This window comes from Homo sapiens, chromosome 5, assembly GCF_000001405.40.
Source record: "Homo sapiens chromosome 5, GRCh38.p14 Primary Assembly".
NCBI classification, from domain to species: domain Eukaryota; kingdom Metazoa; phylum Chordata; class Mammalia; order Primates; family Hominidae; genus Homo; species Homo sapiens.
Window position 1 is genome coordinate 102,269,569 of NC_000005.10, and position 18,070 is coordinate 102,287,638.

At 33.7% G+C, this 18,070-nt stretch overlaps 1 protein-coding gene across 4 annotated transcripts in view; it reads right to left on the reverse strand.

Moving 5' to 3' along the window:
- Positions 1-18,070, reverse strand: part of SLCO4C1 (solute carrier organic anion transporter family member 4C1) — a 62,299-nt gene that overhangs the window by 35,583 nt on the left and 8,646 nt on the right. For all 4 annotated transcript variants that reach the window (XM_011543370.3, NM_180991.5, XM_047417146.1 and 1 more), the window contains one exon: positions 1,056-1,238. In XM_011543370.3, the coding sequence (XP_011541672.1) occupies positions 1,056-1,238 (183 nt within the window). The remainder of the gene's footprint in view (positions 1-1,055; positions 1,239-18,070) is intronic.

Sequence of the window (18,070 nt, forward strand, 5' to 3'; positions counted from 1 at the left end):
TCATTCAGATCATGAATTGTTTCCTTGATTTCCTTGTGTTGTTTATCTGAGTTCCCTTGATATCGTACTGAGTTTCTTTAAGACCATTAGCTCAAATTCCTTTTTAGGCATTTCACAGATTTTTATTTTATTTTGATTCTGTTACTGTATAATTATTGTATGTCTTTCAAAGTGCCATGTTTCCTTGCTTTTTCATGTTTTTGCTTTTGCTTGTTACTATATTGATACCTGCACAGTTGGAGTAACAGTCACTCTTCCAATTTTACTGAGTAGTTTTCACAGGATAAGACATATTCCTATAGATATATCTATGGTGTTGGTTGGGTAGGTACCCTTTGGGTTTGATTCTGGGTGGGCGCAGCAGTGTATTCTCCATTTGAATACTCTGGCTGTAATCAAAGCCAATGGTATCTGTGAGATCCTCAGTGGCTTAGGCTACACTGAACATACTGTCTTCCAAATGCTGTGGTAATGAATCTCCTATGTTAGATTAACAGACTGATAAAGAGAAAACTCATATGCAAATAAAGTATTCAATAATTAGATGTAGGGCTGTGCATTGTCTAGTTAGCTTTACCTTGCAGGAACATAAGAGAAGGAATTTAAGAGAAACTTATGCTACCAGGAATTAGATCACAAAGGAGAAACAATGGTTTCTTTTGTGGACTGTAAGTCAATATAGGATGTCATAAATCACACAGAATGGCAGAGCTCAATCTCTACACCTTGTAGAGATTTGCCTCTATGTCACTTGTGAAAGTTACCCTAAGATTCAAGCAATCTAAAGAGAATGCTGCTTAAATGGCTATTCCTGTCCTGCAAAGCTGGCATGCCTAGAGCAAGAAATACAGCAGAGGATCAACAAAAATCATTATAATTTATATTTACTGACATTATTTGGCAGGAAATAAAACAAAAGTAATACTGCATTTATTTATTGGGAAAACCTATGGCATTACAACTAACTTTTTAGTAAGCCTATGTTATACTTTACTTCTAAAGTGAACAAATAATAAGATAAAGTGATACTGAGACAGTTTAGAGAGTAAACTTACCTATATAGAGAGAAGACTTGTGTGTGGGCACAGAATCATCAAGAAAGGCTGTTCCCAGAGTATAAAGAGGAGTTCCTCCTGCCCCCAGCAATAGTTGTCCCAAGATGAAGACATACAAGTAGTTAGAAAGTGAAGAAGTTGAAGATGTACAACTGGTGCTATTCCTTGTTGTTACACAAGTGTCTTTGTGGAAAAAAAAATTGTGAATTTATAGAAATTCAGCTAATAATTTAAATTTCTATCATATAAATTACACTTGCCTAATATAATATAACCTTATTTATTTCTTCCAATCATTTTACTTTGATTTAAACTATTTAAAAATACATCAAAAGAAAAATACACTTTCTTACCCCAGCCTGCCCTCACTTTATGAAGGCCTATTCACTCCTATTCACCTCTGTCACTTAGATGGGGGTAACCACTGTCAACAGTTCTTTTCAGTTTTTCAGACATTTACTCACACATTTACGTGTTGTATACCCCATTTAATTTTTTTACACAATTATAGTCATAATAAAACATACTATCTTTATATTCAACAATGTCCAGTTTTCACTTATTATGTCCCGGACGTCTCTGATATTAGCACTTAAAGCTATATTTAAATTTATTTATTGTCACTGTCATAATATTCTATAGCATAAATGTCCTGTAATTTTATTGCCTAGTCCAGCACATGTATTTAATAATAAATATTATTAATATTATATTGTATTATACATAGGTTTAGATCATTTTCTTATTTCCATCAGAATGTTATGATGTACATATTTTTTTAAGTTTACCCTGGCACATTTTGGGCAAGCCTATCTATAGGACAGGTTACAAAGAGTGAAACTGCTAGGTCAAAGTGAATAAATATTTATATTTTGATACTGCCAAACCACTTTATCAAAAAGTCATACAAATATGCAATCCCACCAACAATTCATTAACACTTTACATAATAAAACTTAAATGACTACCAATCTCATTGGTTAAAAATATATATATATAATTTTTTAAATTTCATTTTTAAAATCAGTGACATTAAGCATTTTTCCATACATTTATTGTCACTTGCATTTTTTTCTGTGAACTAATTTTTCAATTAGTTCAATTTTCCTAGGTTCTGAGTTTGGTACATGACTGTTCCTTATTCCATAATTACACAAACAATGGTTTTATCTTAGCATTTTTACTACTTTATTTAGATATAAGATAGGTGGATAAACATATACACACAGAATGGATCACATGGCTATGTCTATGTAATATGTGTGTATATGTTGCGAAAAAGGCCTCAGAAGAAAAGTAGGTCAGAGGTCATCTTTTGCAACTCGGGTAAATACATTAAGCCAATTAGCTCAGCCCAGGTGATCGCAATAAGCCAATTAGATCAGCTCTGGTGAATATAATCAGACAATTAGCTAACTTGAGAAAGCAGAGGCATCCAGGCAGGCCCCAAGTAGAAAATGTGAATAATACAGGCATACATTGAGAAAGGAAGCAGGGCTGTGAAGTGCTAAGTTAATTCATATGTAATATCTTTTAGTGGGAGAAGACAGAGATCCAGCATTCTATTGCATTAACCAAAAAGCACATCTTTTACTAACTTGACTATCTGGGGTTTATTTATGGCGGCTTGATCTTGTGTCACTAATCTGTGCAATCCCACTCCAGCACAAATCTCTTGTTATTACTTCAGCTTTCTAAGGTTTAAAGGCATCAATATGTCAACCCAGCTATAACCCATTTTACAGTGCTTCATGAAAAGCTCTATTTAATTGATCCATTTTCATAATACAGGTGGTCCTGTATTATGAAATCTAATACAAACATCCCACAAAAAGCTGACAAGGAATAATTCACCTCATTCAAAGTTGAATAATAATCAAAAAAGAAAAACAAATGGCTAGTAAGGGAGAACAGTCTCCAGAAAAATACTGTCATTAATGTAGATTTTAAAATTACTATATTGCCATACTTAAAAAAGGAATGGAAACAATTGCCTCTTAAAATCCAGAGCTCAAAACGGGGATTTAATAAGCTCATAGAAATGTGTTGAGGCAGGGCGTGATGGCTTACACCTATAATTCCAGTACTTTGGAAGGACAAGGTGGGTGGATCACTTGAGGTCAGGAGTTTGAGACTAGCATTGCCAACATGGTAAAACCCGTCTCTACTGAAAATACAAAAATTAGCCAAGTGTGGTGGCACACCCCTGTAGTCCCAGCTACTCGGGAGGCTGAGGGCAGAAGAATTGCTGGAACCCGGGAGGAGGAGGTTGCAGTGAGCCACTGCACTCCAGCCTGGGCAGAAAAGCAAGACTTCATCTCAAAAAAAGAAAGAAAGAAAGAAAGAAATGCAGTGAAATAGAGAAAGAAAAGAAAAAAACACAAACATGGGCTAAATAACTCAGTATCATGTTTTGTTCTATAAAACATAAAAGAACAAAACTATCAGAAATGGAGGTCACCCTGGAATGGTCAAAAAAGAATAGAGACTGTGAGAATTATGACAGAGAGAATAGACTTGAGAAATATGAACAAAATTAAATAAAGGAAAAATAAGACACCAAGATTTAAAAGGTTACAGAGAAAATTACAGATATAGAATTCAGACAAAGGCAATCAAACATAGGTATAATCAACCAAAATAGAAAAATAAATATGTTTAAAGGTAAAATTAAGGAAAATTTTCTATAATTAAAATTGATCTATGATTTAAAAAGATATGGAGAATCCCAGGAAAATCTGATGCAGGACTTTCAACACCAAAATATTCCCTTGTAAAGTCTGTGAATTTTAAAGATGAAAAGACTTTTTTGAACAGCTAGACAAGAAGATAAAGTCACTTATGCAGAAGGAAATAAAAAACATAAGCTTACATTCAGACTTCCCTAAAGCAACATTAATCCCATAGAGGCAGTAAAGGGATGCCAAAAAAGTAACCAGTGCAAGATAATGTGACCCTTATATTTTATGCTTAGCCAAATTGTCATTCAAATATAAAGACAAAGAAAAATATTTAAACCTATATTATTTAAACCTATTAAATCTCATAAAATGAACTTGCCCTGAAAAACACTACTAAAGGGTACATTTTAGCCTATAGAGAAATACTTCATTCAGAGATGCCATGTGTACCTTAAGATAATCAGAAGCAAATTGTACTTTTATAATACAGTTTATAAAATAGCTAGATTTACCTATTCAATGAATTTTGTGAGATTATTAGTTGAGGAAACCATTTGAACCTAGAATTTCAACTTCTAATGAAAAATCAAACAATTTCTGACCAAATACAGTTAGCCCTCCATATCCACAGGTTCCATATCTGTGGATTCAACCAACCACAGATCAAAAATATTCAGGGAAGAAAAATAACAATACACCAATAAAAGAAATATAAATAAAAATATACTATAATTATTTACATAGCATTTACACGACATTAGCTATTATTTGTAATCTAGAGATGATTTAAAGTTTATAGGAGGATGTAGGTAGATTGTATACAAATAACACACCATTTTATAGAAGGGACTTGAGCATGCAGATTTTGTTATCCATGGGGGTCCTGGAACCAATCCCCCATGGATACTGTAATTTCAACATTAATTAAAAGGCATGTGATTTGACGATACACCACAAGTGGAAGCTCCTACGTTGTTTATAAATTTAGAGGAACACTGCCAATAAAATTAAGGATTAGAACTGTACCTAATGAACAAAGAAGTGGCCAGTCTTACCCACTAATATTGGCAGGTCTGTGACAAAAAGACAAAAGGAAATCCACATACCATATGTCAAAACATTCAGAAGATAAATACCAAGCTCAGCCAAATGCTTAACCCCAATCAAAGACCCACAGCCTGCTGCTCTCCAAGCATTTGCCCTAAAGACCTAGAGGCTAAAGGTACCTCTTTTCCCCTGGGCCTATCCTGCTGCCAGGGGTAGGGCAGAATGGACTCTGCTGTGATGTGATTCCACTTCCCCAGCCACACATTTGATAAGATTCCCAGGAGATGTGTATCTATGCATCCTGGAGAGGGGAGTAAAGAAGCCTAGTTTTGAGGGAACCCAGTCTCCCCAGTTACCTGCATCAGGTGCTTTGACGTGGCTAACTTTAAACAAACACCATCTCTCTTTCTCCTTTCCCAGGGGGTAGCTGTACTTTTCTTTCCTCAGCCTCACTCCTCATCTCCTAACCTCCTAACCACTGCCCTGAGGAAGGAGAAAGAGCTGCTGCTTTTGTTTATAGTTGACCACCCCGAGTCTAAACAGCATCTTCTGGCCTGGGGAATTTAGCTCAATCCTACATTCCTCTCCTGTCATCTCTGGTACCACATCTCTGGTTACCACGGCATTTACAGAAAGATGTCATAAGAAAAAAAAGGCAGCATAATTTTATTAAAATTAAGATTAGGGCACTGACCACAAAAATATTTTCATGGAGCAAATGAGAAATGTGAACACATAGTTCATCACGAGATGAGGCAATGATTTATATAAATAAATGAAGTAAAAGAAAAGAAATGATGAAGGAAAGAAAGAGGAGATCAAATCCTGACAGAAAAAAGTAAAAGGAAAAAACTAAAACCCCATAGAAAAGAAGATACAACGGAAAGGGGCACATGGGTAAACTGACTGAGAAAACATAGTTATGGGCATATAGAGTACAAATGAGGAAAGTGAGCAAAATTCATGATAAAAAAGAAGAAATGTTAACATAAGGAGGCCAAATAAGATCATATATACGCATAGTTGAAATAGTTGATGTACCTAAGAAAGAAAACTAAAATCATAGAACAAAATACTTAAATATATAATTTAAAGAAATATCACTATACTGTAAAAGTATGTATGTAAATCTCTATAGGTCACCCTGCATAATTGGAGGCCAGGAAACTATGACATGAATGGTCATCACCAGGACATAGTTTAGAGTAGACTTTGAAGAGAGACTCCAAGTCACAAATACACTTGGACTACTGAGAATCTTCTTTGTAGAGAACACCAGCAGTATACTGTATATCACGTGTCACAAGCACTTCTAAATAATTTCAGAATGCACAGGCAAACAAAGGCTTTGTGTGCTTCGTAAATCTTCTTGGTTCTCGAATAACAAGTGGAATAATCACTTATTTATATGTAACATGATAAAGAATATTATCTTTAAAAATCATCTATCATATATTCAAGTTAGTTTTTTCTTCATTAATGTCTAACATCTCCCAGAACTAGTGCTCTATAAATCACTTTTGAAAAAGACTGGTTAGAATCATAACAAAAGTGTCAAAAGAAACAAAACAGTCCTAGGTCATTAAAAATATTTAAATTTAGCCCTTATACAAACAGACTTAAATCCTAGAAGGTTACAGTGGCACACAGCCACTCCAAACCACACCAGTGGGGAGGACACCAGGAAAATGCACACTTGGGACCTCTTTCTTCCCAATATGCAAACTCCTATTAGCTAACCCAACTACAATCCAGGGCAGAGAAAAGTGCCAGATTGACACAGTCTGTTGGATTTTTCTACTAAAGCACAAAGCAAAAGTCATGAATAGTAAATATTGGCCCTGGAAGGACACAGAATATCCAACACAGCTCCCCCTCCTTCTTTAGCATCCACTTTTATCTTCATCTGAATTTAAAAATCTGTATGTCTCCCACATAAGAAACCCACAAAAAGCTATCTGCAAAATATCATCATGAGATAACATGCATTCAGTTATTCTCCCACCTGAAAGCAACACTGAAGTGTTAGCCCCAGCGGTGGTCTGCATCGAAGGTGGCAGACGAAAACAAGAGCAGGGCGACAATTAACCAGCTCCATAGTTCTCTTTCTATAGTTGGTCAGAGGGCCCAACTGACAAGCATAGCTTCCTTCTATCATGCAGTTCTTGTTCCCTTTACCACTGCCTATACCTTAACTAGTCAGGTATTTTACCGTCTTTTACAAGTCTCCAGCTCTTCTTTCCCTATTGAGTTACTGAAGTTTTCTTTTAACAAGTACTATTGGGTATAGGAGTGTTAAGCGGCACCTAAGTGAATCTTGCAGTCCAAAAATATACTGTTCCTTGCAACTGGAAAGGAACAACTCAATTTTCCCTTGGTAACTAGGATCCATTAGCTCTGTCAATTTAGTGAACTCTCCCTGTTGAATATTTACTATGAAGAGATCAAAAAGGATTAGCGAACAGTTATTGTTAAGCTTTGGATTTAAGGGAATAATGACTGTGTGCCTTGATGGAAACTTAAATCCCTTGGGTACTAGAATTCAACAAGGCAGGGTGTAAGAATTCCATTAAGTGGATTATTAGCTATAGTAGTGAGAGGCACCAATCCATTGCCGCTCCTTAGTTCCCTAGACAGTACCCAACGAACATAGTGGTGAGTTTCCTGGGTTTTATTTTTGCTTAATCTATCCCAGATTTTCAGCTGAATAAGTTAGCAACCCACAAATGCCAAAGGCTGCATACAAAACAAAAAAAAGAGGCACAAGAAAATTATCATCATTCTAGCCAAAAGATCAAGAAAGAAGCAGCTTGGCAAGGCAGAAAAATTATACAGTAAACATGCTACTCTAGTCAAATACCACAGAGAAAAACTGCAATCTCACCCACACTCACCCCTGCAATATATGGTGTAACAAGGTGCCCCATCCCCCTTCCAGGGTGGTGTCAGAGAAGGATGAGAAGGGATCCGGGACTTCTACCTCCATCAAGAGGTAATGATCCTCACCCCTCGTGCCAGTGAAATCTACACTGGTAGCCTGGGTTTCCAGCTCTATGTAGCAACAGAAGCACCCCCACTCCCTCTCTGCTAGTACAAGAGGAAGCCTAGTGAAGAGTCAGAACTTACACTGTAGTCTAGTTGGAATTAGGCCATACTTCTTCTCTGTGGTGTCAGTAGAAGAGTAGCAAGTCACTTCTACCATTCCCAGAGAGAATGATATCAGTGGAGTTCTAGTGGAGATCCAGGACTGCCACCACCACCCAACAGTAACAAGGAGCCTGTCTTCCTACTAGGTGTCAATTGAGGCCAAGAGGTGAACTTGGACTTCGATGCCACTCGGCAAATAAGGCCTCACCCACCCCCACCTCAAAGCCATCAGAACAGCGTCAAGTAGTTAAGACAGAAGATTTAAATAAGAACCAGAGTCTAATAATATAATACAAAGACTATACTTACATACATGTAATGCAGTACCTAGAAAAAAACACTCAAAAAGTTATACAAAGAAATATACTCAAAACACTACAGATAAATCAAAATGGAATTCTAAAACTGTTCAAGCAACTCACATTCAGGAAAGCAAGAAGCAGATAATAGAGAAACAAAAAACAAAGAACAAACACAAAACAAAATATTAAAAGTACAGGTTTAAACTTTAACATACTAGTATTTACATTACATGTAAATGGTCTGAATATTACAATTAAAGGATATTGACATAGTGAATAAAAAAAACAACCCAACTATGCCATCTACAAGAAATTCACTTCAAATGCAGTAATGTGGGCAGGCTGAAATTTAAAGATTGGGGGAAAAAACATATCATCCAAGCATTAATCAAAATAATGTAGGAGTAGCCATATTAATATCAGCTGAAACTGACTTTAGAGCAAAAAAATTTACTTGACACAGAGAGACATTACATAATGAAAAAATAGTCAATTTACCAAGAAGAGTAACATGTTTTCACCATCATAGAGCTGTAAAACATGAAGCAGAAATTTATAGAATGAAAGGAGGAACAGACAAACCCACAATTACAATAAAAGATTTCAAAACCCCTCTCTGAGCAACTGATAGAACAGAAAATTAGCAAGGATATAAACTAACTTATCAACCACATCTACCAACAGGATCTAACCAACATTTTTTAAGCACTCTGCCAAACAATAGCAAAATACATTTTCTTTTCAAACGCCCACAGAACATATGCCAAGGCAGATCACATCCTGCGCCATAGAGTAAACCTTAATAAATTTTTAAAAATTCAAATCCTACATAGTATGTTTTCTGACTACAATGGAATCTAATGAAACATCATTAACAAAATGATAACAAAAATATCTCCAAATATTGGAAACTAAACAACATGCTCTCACACTTTCAAATAATCTATGGGTCAAAAAGGAAGTCTCTAAGGAAATAAAAAAATTCACTGAATTAAGTAAAAATGAAAACACAATATATAACAATAGTGAAATACAACTCAAGCAGTACTGAAAGAAAATTTTATAGCACTAAAATGCATACATTAGAAAAAATAAAAATAAAATCAATAATCTAAGCTTCCATGTCACCCACCTAGAGAAAAATAATAATAGAATAAATTTAAAATAAGTAGAAGGAAGAAAATAAAGAGCAGAAATCAATAAATTGGAAAATAGAAAACTATAGAGAAAAATCAATGAAACTAAAAGTTCATTTTCTGAAAAGATGAATTTAATTGGCTACATCTAGCAAGACTGACAAAGAATAAGAAAAAGTAGACAAATACTATCAATATCAGGAATCAAGCAAAGGATTTCACAACAGATCCAGCAGACAAAGAAAATATAATAAATAAATACTAGGAACAGTTAGCTTTATATACATAAATTTGACAACTTAGATGAAATGGGTCAATTACATAAAAAGCATAAATTATATCTACTCACCCAAAACGAAGTATAAGGTTGGTGCAGAAGTAACTGCAGTTTTTGCCATTAAAAGTAATGACAAAAATCACAATTACTCTTGCACCAACCTAATAGATTTGAATTACTATTAAAGATAACTATTAAGAGTATTAACTTTTTTAATTAAGAAACTCCCCAAACAGAAATCTATAGGCTCAAATAGTTTCACTTGCAGAATTCTAACAAACATATAAAGAAAAATTAAAATCAATTTCAGAAAATAGTAGAGGAGGAACATTTCTCAATTTATTGTATGAAGTTTATAATCCCCTAAAATCCACAAAAACTACAAAGCCAAATAGAGACAGTACATAAAAGAAAATAAAAACTAATATCCCTTATGAATATAGACACAAAAATGCTTAACAAAATAGTACCAAACAGAATTCACAAATATATCCAAAGAATTGTACACCATTGCCAGGTGAGGTTTATTCTGGGATGCAAGGCTGGCATCAAAAAAATCAAAAAATGTTAACTACTGTATTAACAGATTGAAGAAGAAAAAAATCGCATGATCATGATCACATGATCAGAAATCACATGAACAATTGATGCAGAACAAGTGTTTGGCAACATTCAACAATGATTCCTGATAAAAATTCTCAGAAAAAGAGGAATAGAGTAGAACTTTCCCAACTTGATAAAGAGTATTTATAAAAACATGCAGCAGTAGTGAAAGACTGAAAGCTTTCTTGCCTAATATAGGGAAGAAGGTAAGAACAATCACTCTCACCATTCTTACTCAAAATAGTACTGGAAGTTCTAACCAGTGCAATAAGGCAAAAAAAAAAAAAAAAAAAAAAAAAAGAGAAAGAAAATTAGTGCCATACAGAAGGTACAGGAAGTAATAAAACTGTTCCTATGTGCAGAAAACATGACTGTCTACATAGAATACACCAAGGAATCCACAAAATAATATCAAGAACCAATTAATTCAGTAACATTGCAGAATACACAATAAAACATACAAAAATCTACCGTATTTCCATATACTGGCAATGAACATATGGAAACTGAAATTTAAAATACAGTACTATTTACAATCATTCAAAAAAAAGCAAAAAGAAATACTTAGATGTTAATCTAACAAAATATATATACATAACTTGCATGCTAAAAATATAAAATACTGATGAAAAAAATTAAAGAAAATCTAAATAAATGGAGTATAAATCCATATATATTCATGGATTGGAAGACCCAACATAGTAACTATATCAGTTTAATCCCAATTAATATCCCAATTAATATACAGGTTGTATTAGTTCATTTTCACACTGCTATAAAGATACTACCTGAAACTGGGTAATTTATAAAGAAAAAAATTTAGGCCTCAGGAAACTTACAATCACGGCTGAAGGGGAAGCAGGTACATCTTACATGGTCGCAGGCGAGAGAGCATGTGAAGGAAGAACTGTCAAACACTTATAAAACCATCAGCTCTCATGAGAACTCACTCACTATCAGGAGAACAGCATGGGGGAAACCACCCCCATGATCAAATAACCTCCCACCAGGTCCCTCCCTTGACATGTGGGGATCATGGGGATTAGAATTTGAGATGAGATTTGAGTGGGGACACAAAACCAAACCATATCAAGGTTTAATACAATTCCTCTCAAAATCCTATTACGATATTTTGTAGATATAGACAAGATTATTCTAAAATTTATATAGAAATAAAAAGGAATGAGGCAAACCAATATGGAAAAATAACAATGAAGTGAGAGCAATGTCTATAGGATTTCAAGACTTATATAAGTATAATAGTCAAGAATGTGATATTGGTGAAGTGATACATATATCAATGGAGCAGAGTAGAGATCCCAGAAATATAGCTATACAAATATGCCCAACTGATTTTTGAAAAGCTACAAAAGTAATTCAATGGTTGAAGGACAGACTTTTCAAATGGAGCTAGAGCAAATGGACACTTATAAACAAAAATCAAACTTTAAACCTCACATCTTTTATACAAATTAACTCAAAATATATCACAGACTTAAATGTAAAATAGAAAACTATAAAACTTTTTTTAAAAATAGAAGAAAATCTTAGGGATCAGAGCTAGGCAAAGGGTTTTTAGTCTTCACAATAAAAGCATAATCTATAAAAGGAAAAAACTGATAAATTCGACTTTATTTAAATTGAAAATTTTCACTCTCTGAAAGACCCTGTTAAGAGGATGAAAAGACATGCTACAGACTGGATGAAAATATTTGCAAACTAGCATGTGACAAGACCTAGTACTCGGAAAACATAAATGTCTCTCTAAACTCAACAGTAAAGAAACAAATATCCAAAGACATGAAAAGACATTTCACCAAAGATGATATGCAGATAGCAAATTCACACAAGCAAAGATGCTCAATGTTATCAGCCATTAAAGAAATACAAATTAAAACACAACGAGATTTCACTGTACACCTATTAGAATGGCTACACCAAATGCTGGCAAGGATTCAAATAAACCGAGTCACTCATACATTGCTGATGGGAATATAAAGTGATACAGTGAATCTGGAAAACAGTTTGGCAGTTTCTCAAAAAACTAAACATAGAATTTTCATATGACCCAGCAGTTTTACTCCTGGGCATCTATTCCAGAAAAATGAAAACTATGTTCACACAAAAATCTGCACACTAATGTTTGTAGCTTTATTTGTAATAACCAAAATCTGGGAACAAACCAGATGTTCTTTAATAGGCAAATGGTTAAACAAACTATGGTACATCCATACCATGGATTACTAATCAGCAGTAGAAAGAACAGAACAATTGATATGTACAACAACATGATGAGTATTCAGAAAATTACTCAGACTAAAAAAAGTCAATTCCAAAATATTATATACCGTATAATTATTGAAATATAGTAAAACCTTTAAACATAGAAATGTTCATCATGAGTTAATTTATAATAAAAAACTTTTTATATGTAAAAATTCAGTTCTATGAGAATGTTTAAAATGTAAAACAGAATGCTATGCAAGAAAATGCTCACAGGTTGCAACATATTTTATTAACTGTATTAAAAATAGGCACAGAAAAACAGTACGACAATTCCGAAGCTGTTTTCCTTGAGAAAAGAAAAACAGTGAATTGAGTTTTTTTCTCTTTCCACTTCTTAGTATTACCCAAATTGTCTGCATGACCCATAGAACCTCTCTAACCAGAAAAATTAAATGTATTAATAAAAAATATAACAAAGGAGGGTTGGTTAAATAAGTCATTTATAAAATGAAATAATAGAAAAGCAAAAAGATTCTGCAACTCCATCTTTACTAATATAAAATGTGTCCAACACATCTTCCAAGTAAAAAGAAGTCAACGTTCCTAGATTAAAAATCTTGTTTCCTTCAAACAAGGATTTTGAATGTGTTTGTGAGAATGTGATGTAAAGATGTGTGAATGTTAATAAAATTATGTGAGTGTGAATGTGTGCATGAATGTGTGTTAATGACTGTGTAGTGTAGTTTATGTATGACAATATACGTATGAATGTGTATATACATTTTTAAAAGACTGAACAGTGTTAACGGTGAATAACCAAGGTGTGTTACCATGAAAACTCTTTCTTTCTTTCTTTATTCCATTTTTGTTTGTGTGTTCCTATTTTCTGAACATTTTACAAAGTACATATCATGTTCAAAGTCAAAAAATTCAAGATATTTTCAAATGGCAACTTGGCTATTTAAAAGGCAATATTTTAATGTGTTATTCTAAGTGGACCCAATTAAGCTGAGCTACACCAAATGAATTATTTTCTTATCTCGTAACAATATGATCTTAGAAATATATCTAATTAAAACCCTTTCTAATGTACTAGTTCAAAAGTGTTTGGTCAGACTTTGGGGATATGTCAACACCAAGTGACATCCACAAAAAAAAAAAGACTTTATTATTCATTGCTACTATTTAATGAGCACTCACCACACACCAGGCACTGCCTTATCACCACATATGTATACTCTTCTATGTGGTATTGATTATTATCAACATAATTTATAGTCAAAGAAACTTATCTCCAGGATCACTGTAGTTCTATCACAGTGTGTGAGCAAAAACTTAAACTCACTTATTTCTGACTCTCATATCTCTGCTAAAGTGCTGAATACTTTCATTAAATAGGATGAACTAATAGCATTAAAATGAAACAGAAAAAATATATTAAAACACACACTGGCAAATTTGTGCGTTTTTAAGAATAGTGACTAAGAAAATAGAATTTCCTCATTTATTTCCTGCCACAAACCACCAACCTTTCTAAGGAAGCTACAAAAAAAAAAAAAAAAAGACATTGCTTAATCATTACCTTCCACACAATATATCTGGTTAGACACAACTACGCCTATGGCCACTTGAATGCCCTATCAGAGCACTTCATTTTATATATTAAGATTTTTAAAAGTCCATGAAAAGAGAATTGCTAACATTTTAACATTAAGAGCCTAATGCCTTGTCCTTCCACAGAAGACAGTAAGAGTAGGTAATGGCAGATAAAGGCAATTTGGGATTCTCTGTCCACATTTTCCATAAACTTGGGCTAAAAAAATGGAACATTAAAAGAGAATTTTCTTAGAAGCACTGAAGTGAAATCAACATCTTAGCAAGTCATTAAGACAAAAACCAAAAGTAGAATATCAAAGCATTCTGCTACTATTTCTGAATATGCTTCTCATTTTAGCTTCCTTTTCACACTGCAAATTTTTCAGATCTCAAATCTTACTCAAAAAGATTACGGAAAATAATTTTTGCCTCTAACAACATAATTTGTCCTAATTCGGTCGCCAGAAAAAAATATGATGAAGAAGAGAGAGAAAGAGAAAATTCTCTTTAAATGTTACCCTATTTTTTTAGCCCAAGTTTATGGAAAATGTGGACAGAGAATCCCAAATTGCCTTTATCTGCCATTACCTACTCTTACTGTCTTCTGTGGAAGGACAAGGCATTAGGCTCTTAATATACCTCATCAAAGGACTCCATTCATTAATATATGTGACAACTCAACAAATAGTTCTTAAGGACCTAGTCTATATCACATGCTGTTCTAGGTGCTGATCATAATAAAGTTTCTAAACTCAACAAGGGCTTTCAAATTCACATAGTTAAACCTAAAGCAGATAGAGCAGATTTTACCAAAGTGTGTTCACTGCCTCATTTACCTAGAGGAAGACAAAGTAAGGGGCGAAAGCAGGATGAAGGGGACAAGTATAACAACGGAGCCTCTTCATCAACTCTACATATCATACCCCTAACTAAAGATTCACAGAATGCATTTGCTTTATAGTGCTGCAATAAAGACAACTGCTTAGCGTTCTTCTTTTTTTTTTTTCCAAACTCATTCAACCATTGAACACATTTTTAACATATTCCTAATGCCTCTAGAAACTGTTCTCTGCAGATAGTACTTTCAGAAATGTTTGGACATGTTTTTCTCTTGCTAAAGGACATGGATTTTTTAAACCTCTACCTACCAGCAAACTATAGCTTGTAATGAGAATGAGTTTGTGCTAAAATTTCATTGACACATTTTTTTCCTACTTATTTTTCTCTGTAAGTTTCCTCTATTTCAGAAGTTTGGTCATTTGCATTTCAACAAAACTGGCTGCATTAGAGCACCTAGCATTTCATGATGATTGTGAAACTCCTATTTTAAAGGAAGACATAAAGCAATAATCTGGAAAGGAAAAGAAACCTTTCTCTCTATATCCACAGTTAGAAGCTTTACAAAGTAATCAGACACTAAAATGGACATGTATGTCCTAAATTAGACTAAGATAACCTGGGTAATTTTTTAAAAATATTGATTGAGTCCTACTCCAAACTTACTGAATCAGGATTTCCAAGAGGCAGTATTAAACAGGAATAGCAACCATCCAGGATAATTCATATATATACATACACACACACACACACACACACACACAAATATATACACACATATATACACACACACACACATATATATTTTTTTTTGTTTGTTTGTTTTTGAGACGAAGTCTCACACTGTTGCCCAGGCTGGAGTGCAGTGTCCCGATCTCAGCTCCCTGCAACCTCCGCCTCCTGGGTTCAAGTGATTCTCCTGCCTCAGCCTCCCAAGTATCTGGGATTACAGGTGCCTGCCACCATGCCCGGCTAATTTTTGTGTTTTTAGTAGGGACAGGGTTTCACCATGTTGGCCAGGCTGGTCTCAAACTCCTGGCCTCAAGTAATCCACCCACCTCAGCCTCCCAAAGTGCTGGGATTACAGGTGTGAGCCATTGAGCCTGGCTCAGGGTAATTCATATTATCTAGGAAGTATGAGAAAGACTGAAAAGCCTCTGATATAAAAAATTGTGATAGTTTTATCTAGAGCATTAACTATTGCTAAAAGGTAGCTCTAGGCCTTTTACTGTATGTATTAAATTTAAAATTGAATCATTTGTTTTATTACACCATTATAGCTTCTAATCTAAAAAAATCACCTCTTCTTATTACTCCTTTATTCATTTCAGTTACAAAGAAGTAAAATTTAAGAAAAATAAGTGACTTCCGTAAAGTAAAAAATAATATCAAAAAAGGAAAAACACTCAGAGGCCAAGCAAAATTAAAGCTTCCTGTATTGAATTTGTGCTTGAAAACCTCTAAAATTCTTTGCCCTAGGTCTTCTCAAATCTAGGCAAGCATTCCATTAAAGAAAAAAGTATTCTAAGAAAAAAAGATAAAATAGTAACCAGAAGTAAAGTCCACTTTGAGTCCTACTGTAATCATTTTCCTAGCACAGCTTTTGTAAGTAGTTACCAAGCATAACCAAAGTCCTTTGATGAAGCATTCTCTCTCAAATGCCAATAAAAAAAAAATTAGAAATTTAGTGCTACAGCTAATGTGAATTTTTATCATTTAAGGTTTCTTTGAGGGAAAGGAGATGGAAAAGAGAAACAAAGATATAGTGCAACGTAGGAAAAATTATCTAATTATTGGTCAATAAATAAAAAGAGCTTTACTAGGCTAAGTAACTACTTTTCTACAATTCCTCAGTATTTAATAATGCCTCTCTCCCAAAGTCTCAAAGAGACATAAAGATTATTTTGCATGGTAACATTAAAATAACACTCATCTAAAAGAAATTAAGATTGCTTAGATGAAAAAAATGTTACGTGGTAAAGATTTACTTATCGCATTTTAAATATTTTAAAGTCATACTACAATATGTTGTGTCATATTAATATTATGTTGAAGTAAGTCAAAATGAATGTCAAATATGACTTATTTAAAAGTGTTTTGACACTATGTTTGGGTTAACTTGTACAAAAAATTAGCCCTTAATAGCATGTATTTGTTCCTCTTAATTTTAATACTACCTCTTTTTTTAGTCCAGTAACAACCACAACTTCCCTTTGATCATCTCCATTCAAAGTTAATCACCTCTAATGCTTATGTCTTTCTAAAAGCTTCCCTTAAAAAAACACTTTCTCTCCAACCTACTTAAATTTATTGTTTACAACACAATAGAAAGTCCACGCTGTTTCAAAATATATCTTCTTAACTTTTGTTCTTAACGTTCTTTTGTGTTATTCTCACACCTGTAGAAATCATACATGTTTATCATATTTTATGTTTTTTTCTACTTACTAGCTATATTACTTTAGTTTCCTCTTACAGAGATTATCCCATCCAAAGTGAGCCCTGATTTTGATTTCCCTTAAGAACAACAGAAAAAGCACAGAAGGGTATGTTAATTTCCTCACTGTCCATCTTAAATTAAATTACATGTATAATTTCAATTAATAAAATCATTTATTAATATTATGCTCTATGTTATGTTAAGTTACTTAAGAAGATTACACATCCCCTTGCCTCTAATTAATTTACAGGAAGCTTTCAACTAATCTGTTTTCTTTTTGCAGTTTCCTTTTCCTAAGTTTTCTTCTCTACTCTCCCTAAAGTTTGACAAATAATTCAGATTTTTCGTTATAGATTCCCATACTTGCAAAAGTAGATTAATATAGACCACTGTACCTGACTACTAGAAGTTGGGGAAGAAATGCTTGAAATTCATAAAAAATATTAAAATCATTCAATATAGTTAATAACTTAGTATGAGTAATAAGCATACACTTTTGAAAAACAATAAACAAACCATAAAAATTAGGATTAGTTTTAGTTGTTGTTAACCATCTGTGAAATCAATTCACCTCTTGCCCTAAGGCTTACACTATAAAAAGAAGAGGTTTTTTCACTTCTTTTTTTTTTTTTTTTTTTTTTTGAGATGGAGTCTCTGCTCTGTCACCCAGGCTGGATGGAGTGCAATGGTACGGTTTCAGCTCACTGCAACCTCGGCCTCCCT